The sequence below is a fragment of the Homo sapiens genome, chromosome 17, assembly GCF_000001405.40.
Source record: "Homo sapiens chromosome 17, GRCh38.p14 Primary Assembly".
Taxonomy (NCBI): domain Eukaryota; kingdom Metazoa; phylum Chordata; class Mammalia; order Primates; family Hominidae; genus Homo; species Homo sapiens.
This window is the reverse complement of record NC_000017.11, coordinates 75,941,428-75,954,249: the sequence shown is the minus strand read 5'-3', so window position 1 is coordinate 75,954,249 and position 12,822 is coordinate 75,941,428. Positions and strand designations below refer to the sequence as shown.

The 12,822-nt window shown below is 43.6% G+C and overlaps 1 protein-coding gene across 5 annotated transcripts in view; it reads left to right on the top strand.

Annotated features, from left to right (window-relative positions):
• ACOX1 (acyl-CoA oxidase 1) overlaps window positions 1-12,743 on the top strand; it is a 37,660-nt gene extending 24,917 nt beyond the window's left edge. For all 5 annotated transcript variants that reach the window (NM_004035.7, NM_007292.6, NM_001185039.2 and 2 more), the window contains 8 exons: window positions 630-799; window positions 2,673-2,835; window positions 3,286-3,476; window positions 4,353-4,532; window positions 4,650-4,755; window positions 4,890-5,033; window positions 5,793-5,999; window positions 7,455-12,743. In NM_004035.7, coding sequence (NP_004026.2) covers window positions 630-799; window positions 2,673-2,835; window positions 3,286-3,476; window positions 4,353-4,532; window positions 4,650-4,755; window positions 4,890-5,033; window positions 5,793-5,999; window positions 7,455-7,502 — 1,209 coding nt within the window. In that variant the 3' untranslated portion in view covers window positions 7,503-12,743. The remainder of the gene's footprint in view (window positions 1-629; window positions 800-2,672; window positions 2,836-3,285; window positions 3,477-4,352; window positions 4,533-4,649; window positions 4,756-4,889; window positions 5,034-5,792; window positions 6,000-7,454) is intronic.

Sequence of the window (12,822 nt, the reverse complement as noted above, 5' to 3'; positions counted from 1 at the left end):
CGCACCCAGCATTTTTTGGTTTTTTTTTTTTTTTGAGACAGAGTCTTGCTCTGTCACCCAGGCTGGAGTGCAGTGGCGCAATCTCAGCTCACTGAAACCTCCGCCTCCCAGGTTCAAGCGATTCTCCTGTCTCAGCTCCTGAGTAGCTGGGATTACAGGCACGTGCCACCACACGCAGCTAATTTTTGTATTTTTAGTAGAGATGGGGTTTCACCATGTTGGTCAGGCTGGTCTCGAATTCCTGACCTCTTGATCTGTCTGCCTTGGCCTCCCAAAGTGCTGGGATTACAGGCGTGAGCCATCACGCCCACTCTGATGCTTCTTTTACTGCGACAGTGAAATCAGAAACAGTTGTCAGGGTTGAAGGACATATTTTGATTTGCTAAACCAATGATTCTCAAACTTTTGCATGCGTTAGAATCACCTGGAAGGCCAGTTAAAGCCCAGGTTGCTAGGCCCTACCCTGGAGTTTCTGATTCAGTTGGTCAGGGTGGGGACTAAGATGTAGTATTTCATGCAAGTTGCCAGGTGATGCTGATGCTGCTATTCCAGGGACCACACTTTGAGAACCACTGAACTGCCTCTTGGGCTTAAAAGAAGGAAGTATCAGTTCCACGTTCTTCTTCCAGGTGAAGCCTGATGGCACATACGTGAAACCGCTGAGTAACAAGCTGACTTACGGGACCATGGTGTTTGTCAGGTCCTTCCTTGTGGGAGAAGCTGCTCGGGCTCTGTCTAAGGCGTGCACCATTGCCATCCGATACAGCGCTGTGAGGCACCAGTCTGAAATCAAGCCAGGGTAAGGATAGGGTCCTAGATGGGCTCAGTACCAAAGGCCTAGTTTTTACCCCATTCAGATCCCAGAATTCCCAAATGTCAATACAGAAGATGCATTAGCACTGCAAAATTGGCTAGGGTGATAACTGGGCCTGTAATTTCATATCTAGGCTTCCTTTTCTTAAGAGGAAAGACAGAAATAACCACCCTTGCTATAATCAGTGACTGCCAAAAAAGAAAAAAAGAGAATACCCACCTTATTATTTTTAACTTTTTAAGAAAAATAGTAATAATATTACTTGAACTTTATAAGTGAAATGTTCAACACACTAAAGGCAGTTTGAAAGTTCTGATTACTACTAGCAACTGTAAATTGTGCATGGTGAAAGTGACATTAAATTTGTTTCCCTTTTGCATTCATAGCCACAGTTTATTCCTACAACTGCCTTTCACTGATACTCCCTGATACTCTTTTTACTCCTAAGGAATAAAGAAACTGGCCAGGTGTGGTAGCTGACACCTGTAATCCCAGCACTTTGGGAGGCTAAGGCAAGAAGATTACTTGAGCCTAGGAGTTTGAGGCCAACTTGAGCAACATAGTGAGACCCTGTCTCTATTTTCTTTTCTTTTTTTTTTTTTTTTGAGATGGATTCTCACTCTGTTGCCCAGACTGGAGTGCAGTGGCGCGATCTCAGCTTGCTGCAGTCTCTGCCACCCTGGGTTCAAGTGATTCTCCTGTCTCAGCCTCCTGAGTAGCTGGGATTACAGGTGCACGCCACCATGCCCAGCTAATTTTTGTATTTTTAGTAGAGACGGAATTTCGCCATGTTGGCCAGGCTGGTCTATTTTCAAAAAAATTAAAAGTTAATTAAATTTTAAGGCCAGGCGCAGTGGCTCACGCCTGTAATCTCAGCACTTTGGGAGGCCAAAGCGGGTGGATCACTTGAAGTCAGGAGTTCAAGACCAGCCTGGCCAACATGGAGAAACCCCACGTCTACTAAAATACAAAAATTAGCTGGGTGTGGTGGCGGGTGCCTGTAATTCCAGCTACTCGGGAGACTGAGGCAGGAGAATCACTTGAACCCAGGAAGTGGAGGTTGTAGTGAGCCGAAATCACAACACTGCACTCCATCCTGGGTGTTAGAGACTTCATCTCAAAAAATAATAATAATAATTACATTTTTAAAAAGGAATAAAGGAATTGATACAATGAGACCCTTGCTAATTCTTACACTTCAAAATATTTAACACCATCCATTGGGTCTTCTCCAAGATTGTGGTCAAAATACAATGTATTCAGCCATCTGGTGAGTAGAGCTTTTTGGCATTGCCTTCTTATTAGGTTGACTAGCGTTGGTTTTGTATGTTGCTATGAGCTACGGTTTTCTTAGTCATACTGGAAAGACTAGGACAGATATGGACTTTGCAGCCAGAAAATTCTGTCAGCCTACGCAGTACAAGGTAATTACAGCATGGTCTTAGGGAGCCAAATAGCCTAGGCACCGTGGCTCATGCCTGTAATCCCACCACTGTGGGAGGCTGAGGCAAGAGAATCGCTTGAACTTGGGAGGCGGAGCTTGCAGTGAGCCAAGATCGCACCACTGCACTAAAGCCTGGGTGACAGAGGGAGACTCCATCACAAAAAAAAAAAAAAAAAAAAAAAAGCCTCAATTTAAATCTAAGACCTGCCACATACGAGCTGTGTGACCTCAGGCAGATTCTTAACCTCTCAGTTTCCCATTTGTAAAATGGAGATAGTAATAGTAACTACCTCACAGTGCCCTTAAGAGGACTAAATAAGTTAAAATACCAAGTGCTTAGATTAGAACCTGGCATATAGAAAGTTCTGTATAAACATTTACTTACTACTTTTTTTCTTTTTCTATGTCACGTAGTGAACCAGAACCACAGATTTTGGATTTTCAAACCCAGCAGTATAAACTCTTTCCACTCCTGGCCACTGCCTATGCCTTCCAGTTTGTGGGCGCATACATGAAGGAGACCTATCACCGGATTAACGAAGGCATTGGTCAAGGGGACCTGAGTGAACTGCCTGAGGTATGAGTTTGGTCTCATTCACTCATGGGCACCCTTCTGTTTCGTGGTTGCCTGTTGGATGAGGTCCAGAGATAACTAAATGTTGGTATTTCCTGAAAAGAAGTATGTATTCTGAGAACTTCTTCTGGTTGAAAGTAGATCAGATATGAAGATCTGTGGGGTTTGTTGTTCAGTATTTTTAGTGTTATCAGAAATACTGTACCATGTTGATTATTTGTCAATCAAGGAAATGTAAGTGGTGAATGTTTAGCCAAGTAGAACAGCTTAGATGGGCATGGGTAGTGTTCTGTATTCTTCTGGCCAGTCGGACAGCTGTGCTTCTTCAGTTTGCATGTGTGGCAGCTGTGTTTTGACAGTGGCCAAGATGTTAGAGGAGGGGTGTGTTTTCTCATTGGTTCTCGGGCTCTCAGCACCACAGATGTCCTGACAGATCTGTGCTTGTCCTCTCAGCTTCATGCCCTCACCGCTGGACTGAAGGCTTTCACCTCCTGGACTGCAAACACTGGCATTGAAGCATGTCGGATGGCTTGTGGTGGGCATGGCTATTCTCATTGCAGTGGTCTTCCAAATATTTATGTCAATTTCACCCCAAGCTGTACCTTTGAGGGAGAAAACACTGTCATGATGCTCCAGACGGCTAGGTGAGAGTCAAATCCTCGATTCCTCCCATCTGTTCATAAGAATGTTCTAGTCCTTTTCCTAGGTTCTTGTTCCCATGGTTTTTCTTCACCGTATATATATATTTGTTCCTGAAAGGTATACTTTTGCCTTCCATCCTGACTCACGGTTTTTATTTCGTGGTGAGGCTAGAGAGTATGAAGCACCTGTTACATAGCTTGCAGTTGTATCAAGGATAGAGTTACTGGGCTGGGCACAGTGGCTCATGACTGTAATCCCAGCACTTTGGGAAGCTGAGGTGGGCAGATCATGAGGTAAGGAGTTCAAGACCAGCTTGATCAACATGGTGAAACCGTGTCTCTACTAAAAAAATACAAAAAAATTAGCCGGGCATGATGGCACATTGCCTGTAATCCCGGCCTACTTGGGAGGCTGAGGCAGAAGAATCGCTTGAACCTGGGAAGCGGAGGTTGCAGTGAGCCAAGATTGCGCTATTGCACTCCATCCTGGGCAACAAGAGCGAAAACTCCATCAAAAAAAAAAAGGCCAGGTGTGGTGGCTTACTCCTGTAATCCCAGCACTTTGGGACGCCAAGCCGGGTAGATCACTTGAGGTCAGGAGTTAAGAGACCAGCCTGGCCAACATGGTAAAACCCTGTCTCTACTAAAAAAACAAAATATTAAAAATTAGCCAGGAATGGTGGCAGGTGCCTGTAGTCCCAGCTACTTGGGAGGCTGAGGCAGGAGAATCATTCATTTGAACCCAAGAGGAGGAGGTTGCAGTGAGCTGAGATCTGGCCATTGCACTCCATCCAGCCTAGGCAACAAGAATGAAACTCCATCTCAAAAGAAACAAAAGAAAGTAGAGTTACTAAAAGCATGTTTACTGGTGACTTTTAGGTTCCTGATGAAAAGTTATGATCAGGTGCACTCAGGAAAGTTGGTGTGTGGCATGGTGTCCTATTTGAACGACCTGCCCAGTCAGCGCATCCAGCCACAGCAGGTAGCAGTCTGGCCAACCATGGTGGATATCAACAGCCCCGAAAGCCTAACCGAAGCATATAAACTCCGTGCAGCCAGGTGAGCTCTCCCTCAAGAGCTAGAATACGCAGCAGTGGGGCTGGGGCCCTGACAGATGGCAAGAAGGCATGAGTACTGTTGATCATTTCCTCAGACCTCCAATCTATGTCTTAACAGATTAGTAGAAATTGCTGCAAAAAACCTTCAAAAAGAAGTGATTCACAGAAAAAGCAAGGAGGTAGCTTGGAACCTAACTTCTGTTGACCTTGTTCGAGCAAGTGAGGTCAGTGGTAGTTCTCTCTTTTTCCCCTTCCCTGCCCTCAGCATCCCGCATTTTCTGGTACAGAAACCCTAGTCACTGTATATTGAATCTTTTTCCAAGGTTCTCAAACTCTGGTGTTTTCTTTTTAATCTTAGGCACATTGCCACTATGTGGTAGTTAAGCTCTTTTCAGAAAAACTCCTCAAAATTCAAGATAAAGCCATTCAAGCTGTCTTAAGGAGTTTATGTCTGCTGTATTCTCTGTATGGAATCAGTCAGAACGCGGGGGATTTCCTTCAGGTCAGTATTTTCTAAGTATAAGTCTTTTTTGTTGTTGTTTTAAGAAAAATAATTGTTGGCTGGGCACGGTGGCTCATGCCTGTAATCCCAGCACTTTGGGAGCCCAAGGCGGGTACGGTGATCACTTGAGGTCAGGAGTTCAAGACCAGCCTGGCCTGGTGAAACCCTGTCTCTACTAAAAATACAAAAATTAGCCAGGTGCAGTGGCACATGCCTGTAATCCCAGCTACTAGGGAGGCTGAGGCACGAGAATCATTTGAACCCTGGAGGCAGAGGTTGCAGTGAGCCAAGATGAAACCACTGCATTCCAGCCTGGGTGACAGAGCAATACTCTGTCTCAAAAAAAAAAAAAAAGAAAAAGAAAAATAGCCAGGCACAGTGGCTCATGCCTGTAATCCCAACACTTTGGCCAAGGCGGGCAGATCACCTGAGGTCGGGAGTTCGAGACCAGCCTGACCAACATGGAGAAACCCCATCTCTACTAAAAATACAAAATTAGCCAGGTGTGCTGGCGCATGCCTGTAATTCCAGCTATTTGGGAGGCCAAGGGAGGAGAATTGCTTGAACCTGGGAGGCGGAGATTGCGGTGAGCCAAGATCACACCATTGTACTCCAGCCTGGGCAACAAGAGTGAAACTCAGTCTCAAAAAAAAAAAAAGAAAAAAATAATTGTCATCCGCTTTATAGCTGTATATGCATATAATTATGTCTATCTATATACATATATATGTTTTATTTACTTATTTTGGTCTCTTTTAGGGGAGCATCATGACAGAGCCTCAGATTACACAAGTAAACCAGCGTGTAAAGGAGTTACTCACTCTGATTCGCTCAGATGCTGTTGCTTTGGTTGATGCATTTGATTTTCAGGATGTGACACTTGGCTCTGTGCTTGGCCGCTATGATGGGAATGTGTATGAAAACTTGTTTGAGTGGGCTAAGAACTCCCCACTGAACAAAGCAGAGGTAAAAATCCAGTGTCTCTGCACCTTTTTAAAAGTCTTCACTTAAATATTGAAGCAGGAAAGGCCTCTCGAAGGGGATTTATCTGTGAAAGCTCTGAAAGTACCATGGCCACTTCTGACAGTCACTTTATTTGAGCAACAGGTTCAGAAGGGAACTGGGTTGTTCCCACAGTAACCAGGGTCTTAATCAATTTCAATTTTTGATAACGAATTGAACATTTAAAAATATATACAGGCCGGGTGCGTTGGCTCACACCTGTAATCCCAGCACTGTGGGAGGCCGAGTGGGCAGATCACCTGAGGTCAGGAGTTCGAGACTAGCCTGGCTAAAATGGCGAAACCCAATCTCTACTAAAAATACAAAAAAAGCAGCCAGGCAGTAATGGTGCACGGCTGTAGTCCCAGCTACTCGGGAATTCTCCTGCCTCAGCTTGAACCCAGGAGAACCCAGGAGGCGGAGGTTGCAGTGAGCCACGTTCGTGCCATTGCACTCCAGCCTGGGTGACAAGAGCAAAACTCTGTCTCAAAAAAAAAAAAAAAGTATACACACACACACACACACACAAATAGAATAAAATATACAAAAAGAGAATTCCGTAGTGCTCTTTGGTACACCCTTTGTCTAGCAGCAATGACTATCAACTCGTGGCTAGTTGTGTTTCATCTGAACCTTCATCCCCCTCCTCCTGGGGACTATTTTGAAATAAATCTAAGACATCAGGGCCAGGCTCAGTGATGCACACCTGGGAGGCCGAGGCAGGTGGATCACCTGAGGTCGGGAGTTTGAGACCAGCCTGACCAACATGGAGAAACCTTGTTTCTACTAAAAATACAAAATTAGCCAGGCGTGGTGGCGCATGCCTGTAATCCCAGCTACTTGGGAGGCTGAGACAGGAGAATTGCTTGAGCCTGGGAGGCGGAGGTTGCGGTGAGCCGAGACCATGCCATTGCACTCCAGCCTGGGCAACAAGAGCGAGGCTCCGTTTCAAAAAAAAAAAAAAAACTAAGACATCAGATAATTTTATCCATAAATAATTCAATGCATAGCTCTAAAAGATAAGGACTCTTCAGAAACAACCACAGGCTGGGCACAGTGGCTCACGCCTGTAATCCTAGCACTTTGGGAGGCTGAGGTGGGTGGATCACTTGAATTGAGGAGTTCTAGACCAGCCTGGCCAACATGGTAAACCCCCATCTCTACAAAAAAATACAAATAGCAGCCAGGTGTCATGGCACACACCTGTAGTTCTAGCAACTCGGGAGGCTAAGGTGGGAAGATCGCTGGAGTCTGGGAGGCAGAGGCTGTAGTGAGCCAAGATTGTGCCACTGCACTCCAGCCTGAGCAACAGAGCAGGACTCAGTCTCAAAAAAAAAACAAAAACAAAAACAAAAAACAGTATACTATTTAACATGGCAAACTCTTTATTAGTAGTTCTTCTCTCTCCTTTCCCCACAGGTCCACGAATCTTACAAGCACCTGAAGTCACTGCAGTCCAAGCTCTGAAGTGTCACAAGGACAAGTTTAATCTGCTTCAGAAAGCGCCTGTGTGCAACTCAAATTTTGTGGAATCTTTTTCGAATTCAAATAGCTATAGAGCAAATGATAAATTGACCCCTTTTTATAAATGGAGGGAAAAAATGAACAGATTTCAGAGATTAAATGAAAAAAAGCAGATGTTTTAAGTGCAATTAACACTGAAAGAGACCTGTTAAACCATTCAGAAAAAGCTTAAGAAATGCGATATGACTTCCTTTTGTAATGCTGCTGATCCCAGTAGACTATGACTTTTGATAATTAGCAGAATTTAACTACTGAGTAGTTGATTATTTTCACATTTTAATTGCTAATCACTGGCTATATAAGTGTTTTTAAGCAAAGGTATTTTTGAAGTGGTGTAGAACCCTTCCAAGCTTTCCTGCTCAGTGTTCTACCAGACTTACCCTGGGGCCTGGCTTAAAAGCAGGATTGAAGAAAAGGGACTGGGGGAAGGAAACTTATTGGAAAACTTGATGCGAATGAGTTTCTGCTTGGCACAGTCTCTGCCTGCTTGCTCTCCTTTGCTGATGGATTGCATTTATCAAACTATTCATGCTAGCATTTTTCCAACGAGGGAACTTATTCCGCACGGGCCTACTGTAGGACCATTGTCTCGTGTAATTAGGAATTTTCCATTTGAAGGATTGCTAAATTGTCACAGTAGTAGGAAGTATAGGGAAACCTCTCAGCTGTGGCACTGTTGTAGCTTTGGAGTGCAGAGTGTAACTCTGGGACAATCAGATTTCACATATTCTGTCATCTTGGCATAAGCCATTAAAAGCTTGGAGATTACTGTATTTGGCATTAAAAAAAAATGTCACTTAGGTCAGCACTCCCAGACGTAGCACAGAAAAACCCTTTGACACAAACCATGTGTTCTGATTTTTGGTTCAGAAAATATTGAAACTGTGAGTTGTTTTTTTTTTAACAACTGGGAAAAAACAAAAACAAAAAACTATAGTTAGAAAAATGGAAGTTCCATAGGTTCTATTTCTTACTCTATGTATGGCTTTGTTTTCAGTCTATTTCTAGGAGCTTTCTCTGAATCGCTAATTGTCCTTTCAGTTGAAATCTAATTTATACAATCATTCTATACTTAAAGGTTAAATACATCTTAATTAATTTTTTCTTAAAGTCAATGTAAGTCACTTTGTTTTGTTTTTTTTTAATCTACGCCATATGCCTCATGAAACCAGCTGTTCTAGAATCAGTCCTGAGAATATGGCTTAATTCCATGGAAACATAACTCCTATCTTGGGACCTGACATAATATCTATCTATCCTGGGGAACTGGTAATATGAGACTTATAGGTTACAGCAGAAATGCTACATGTTGACAAAAGCCTTAATCGTTCCACTGGGAGAACTAATTGATAATTGTGTTAAGATTGAAGATTAACCCTGTGTTAATCTCACTTGAGTCTATCCTGACAGTAGTTCAGATTCTGGAAAATGATAAACTGACCTGCTAGATGTAGAATTGTTTCAAAATTAGTGTTGAAATACCTTGTTCACAGATGAATATCTGGGCAGGATCTGAGGGTGTTTGGAATGACACCCCCCAATCCAGTTGCATAGATGGGATGTCTTTGCAGGTTTGAGGAGATCATCGACCTGCAGAGCCCCCTTTGACCCAGTACCTCACGTTTTATTTAAAATCTAAATCTGGGGCCAGGCGTGGTGGCTCACGCCTGTAATCCAAGCACTTTGGGAGGCCGAAGCGGGTGGATCACCTGAGGTCAGGAGTTTGAGACCATCCTGGCCAACATGGTGAAACCCCGTCTCTACTGAAAAAAATACAAAAATTAGCTGGGCATGGTGGTAGCACGCGCCTGTAGTCCCAGCTACTCGGGAGGCTGAGGCAGGATAATCGCTTGAACTTGGCGGGTAGAGGTTGCAGTGAGCCAAGATGGTGCCACTACACTGCAGCCTGGGTGGCTGAGCGAGACTCCGTCTCAAAAAAAAAATCTAAATCTGACATTTGATGCTATTTTTATTAATATTGGAATGTTCTGTCTTGAACTTTATTCAATATAATCAAGAATAAAGATAGAGTAAACGTCACTGATTTGTACTATTAAGAGAGAAAAAATATGCCACACAACTAAACATAGGTTTAAATTATGAAGAAATTTAGAATAGAGGTTTATTAGATTTAGGGAACACTAAGAACAAAAAAGGAAGGAGTGATACCTGCCTGAGTGGACAGCTGTAAATCAGCTGTAATTACTGCAGTTGTACCAATAGTTGTGAGTGGCTCCAGTCACTTTAGGAGTCCTTGGAAGTACTTGGTACACATTTGTTGGCTGTACCTTAAAGGAAGTGGCAAGTCCAGTTTGTTCTCTCTACCACACTAGACTGCCACTGACAAGTTTGGGTCTGTTGGATTCAAAATTTTGTAAGCCATTTTCACAAGTACAAAGATACATTTTAACCTTGTCTTCTCCAAAATTACTGAGTAGGAATTTTATTTTTATCTTTTTGAGACAGGGTATCACTGTCACCCAGACTGGAGTGCAGTGGTGGGATCTTGGCTTACTGTGACCTCTGCCTCCCGGGTTCAAATGGTCCTCCCTCCTCAGTCTCCTGAGTAGCTGGGACGACAGGCACGTGCCACCATGCCCAGCTAATTTGTTCTATTTTTTCTGTAGAGACGGGGTTTTGCCATGTTGCCCAGGCTGGTCTCAGACTCCTGGGCTCAAGCGATCATTTCGCCTCAGCCTCCCAAAGTGCTGAGATTATAGGTGTGAGCCACAGCATCTGGCCCAGAGTGAGGAGAATTAATGAGATTTTTTGTGTGTGTTAGATAATATTGATTTAAGCCTTTTTTTAAAAAGTACTCTCAACCAAATACAAAATTGAAAATGTGAGGTTTAATAGAAATGTGTTGGCTATTTGCAATGGATTTTCTTCTTGCCCAAGTGTTTGGAGTTCTACTTTATGCTCTGTATTTAAAAATTAGTGACCTCAAAGCAGAGTTGATGACACAGGCTTTGGGGCCCTCATGTTCTTGTCTTTAGAACATATCACTACTAAGTATCAGCTTATCTTCAGAACATTACAACATTCACCGTGTTCATATGCTTTCTGAGAAGTCACCACTTGTAATTTCAGATCACATACACCTGAAGGCATTTTATAGTTCCTAAAGTTAACATGTTAGATCTTTTTTTTCCACCCCATGAGGGTCTCACTCTCACCCAGGCTGGAATGCAGTGGTGTGATTGTAGCACACTTTGGCCACCAACTCCTGGGCTCAAGTGATCCTCCTGCTTTGGCCTCCTCTGAGAAGCTGGGATTACTGGTGCACACCACCACACCTGGCTAATTTTTTATTTTTTTTTATTTTTGGAAATAGGGTATGGCTATGTTGCCTTGGGCCCGTCATGAACTCCTAGCCTCAGGTGACCCTCCCACCTCAGGCCTCCCAAAGGGTTGGGATTACAGGAGTGAGCTACTGCACTGGGCCAACATGTTAATTTTTTTTTTTTTTTTTTTGAGATGGAGTCTCCCAGGCGGGAATGCAATGGTGCGATCTCGACTTCACTGCAATCTTCACCTCCCGGGTTCGAGCGATTCTCCCACCTCAGCCTCCTGAGTAGCTGGGATTACAGGCACCTGCCATCACGCTCGGCTAATTTTTGTATTTTGAGCAGAGATGGAGTTTCACCATGTTGGCCAGGTGATCTGCACTCCCACTCCCCCCACACTTCCCAAAGTGCTGGGATTACAGGCATAAGCCACAAGCCACCTCACCCAGCCAACATGTTACATCTTAATTCTTGGATTTTCTTCACTGCAGGGCTTTGGGTGGAGAAATAAAACTCTTCAAATGCATGATCTTGGAGATCCCTGTGAATCAATAATTCTTTAGACAACTGCGGCTCAAAATCCCTCCTTTCCCTTTTCCGAGTTATTCCATCCATCTTATTAGAAAGGAAGTGAATTAGGTGTAGGTGGTCTGTAACACCTGCACATCTTTTTATACGTGTAGAGGGTATGCCTGGGATATATAGGTTGTCTTCAAGCAGTAGCTGCTACTACAGCTAGAGAGAGGAGGAGTGCCAGGAAACTGATGACCTGAGACCAAGAGTCTTGTTGATGTTCTGACTTAGATAAAGGTTTTGATCATTTTCATGAAATAATGCAGGGAAGTCATTTCTGCTGTTTCTTTACTACTCCATTCTTGGAGGATTAGAACAAGTCACACTGTAATTGACTAAAACGACTTTTTATTTTAAAATATTGATGGTGGGGTTTTGCTTTTTTTTTTTTTTTTTTTTTTGAGACGTTGTCTTGCTCTTTCACCCAGGGTAGAGTGCAGTGGCGAAATCTTGGCTCACTGCAACCTCTGCCTCCCGGGTTCAAGCAATTCTCTGCCTCAGCCTCCTGAGAAGCTGGGATTACAGCGCCTGCCACCATGCCTGTCTAGTTTTTTTGTATTTTTAGTAGAGACAGGGGTTTCACCAAGTTGGCCAGGCTGGTCTTGAACTCCTGACCTCGTGATCCACCCACCTCGGCCTCCCAAAGTGCTGGGATTACAGGCGTGAGCCACCGTGCCGGGCCAGTGTTTTTAACTGTCCACACTTACTAAATTTTCCAGTACTTCTTCCTATGGTTCATGATAGTAAACACAGAAACATATAAGGAACATTATTAGAGTTACCAGATGTTAGCTGTTGCATATGTGCACATTCCTAGATTCAAGGGTGTTTTTGCCTTAAATTTAAGTGGGTCATTGGTTGTCTTGGGAAGATCATGGAAAATTCGGGATTTTTTAGAATTCTGAACCAAAATATGTTTTGAGTGTTTCTTAGTAAATGTGTGATCTTCCACCTTCCACATTCAGACTGCGGACTACACTTCATAAATGCCTTTTTATTTCCAGTTATGGATTCAACTAAATGACTGCCTTGGGAGCACATAATTACTTTGCTACCTTTTTCCCCCTTTGCTGTTGTGGCTCGAGTTTGGTTCTCACCTGAGAAGATGCATTGAGCATATGTTGTTACCCAGCCCTGGCTTAATGGTGTCCTGTGGGGTAGGGGTGGGAGGACGAGGGGCACGGGGCCAGAGCATGTGAATGGATCATGGTTGGACAGCTGTGACCTGCCAGCACTGCGGGTAAGCAAAACTACAAACCGTTCTTTCCTCTGTGACATTGAATAAACCTTAATAAAATTCATAATTAGCACATACTAGAAAAAATGTGACTTAATCTTTTTGTGGGGCGACAGTATTGGGTTTCATTCTGGCTATACAGCTTTGATTGGATCATTAAACAGGT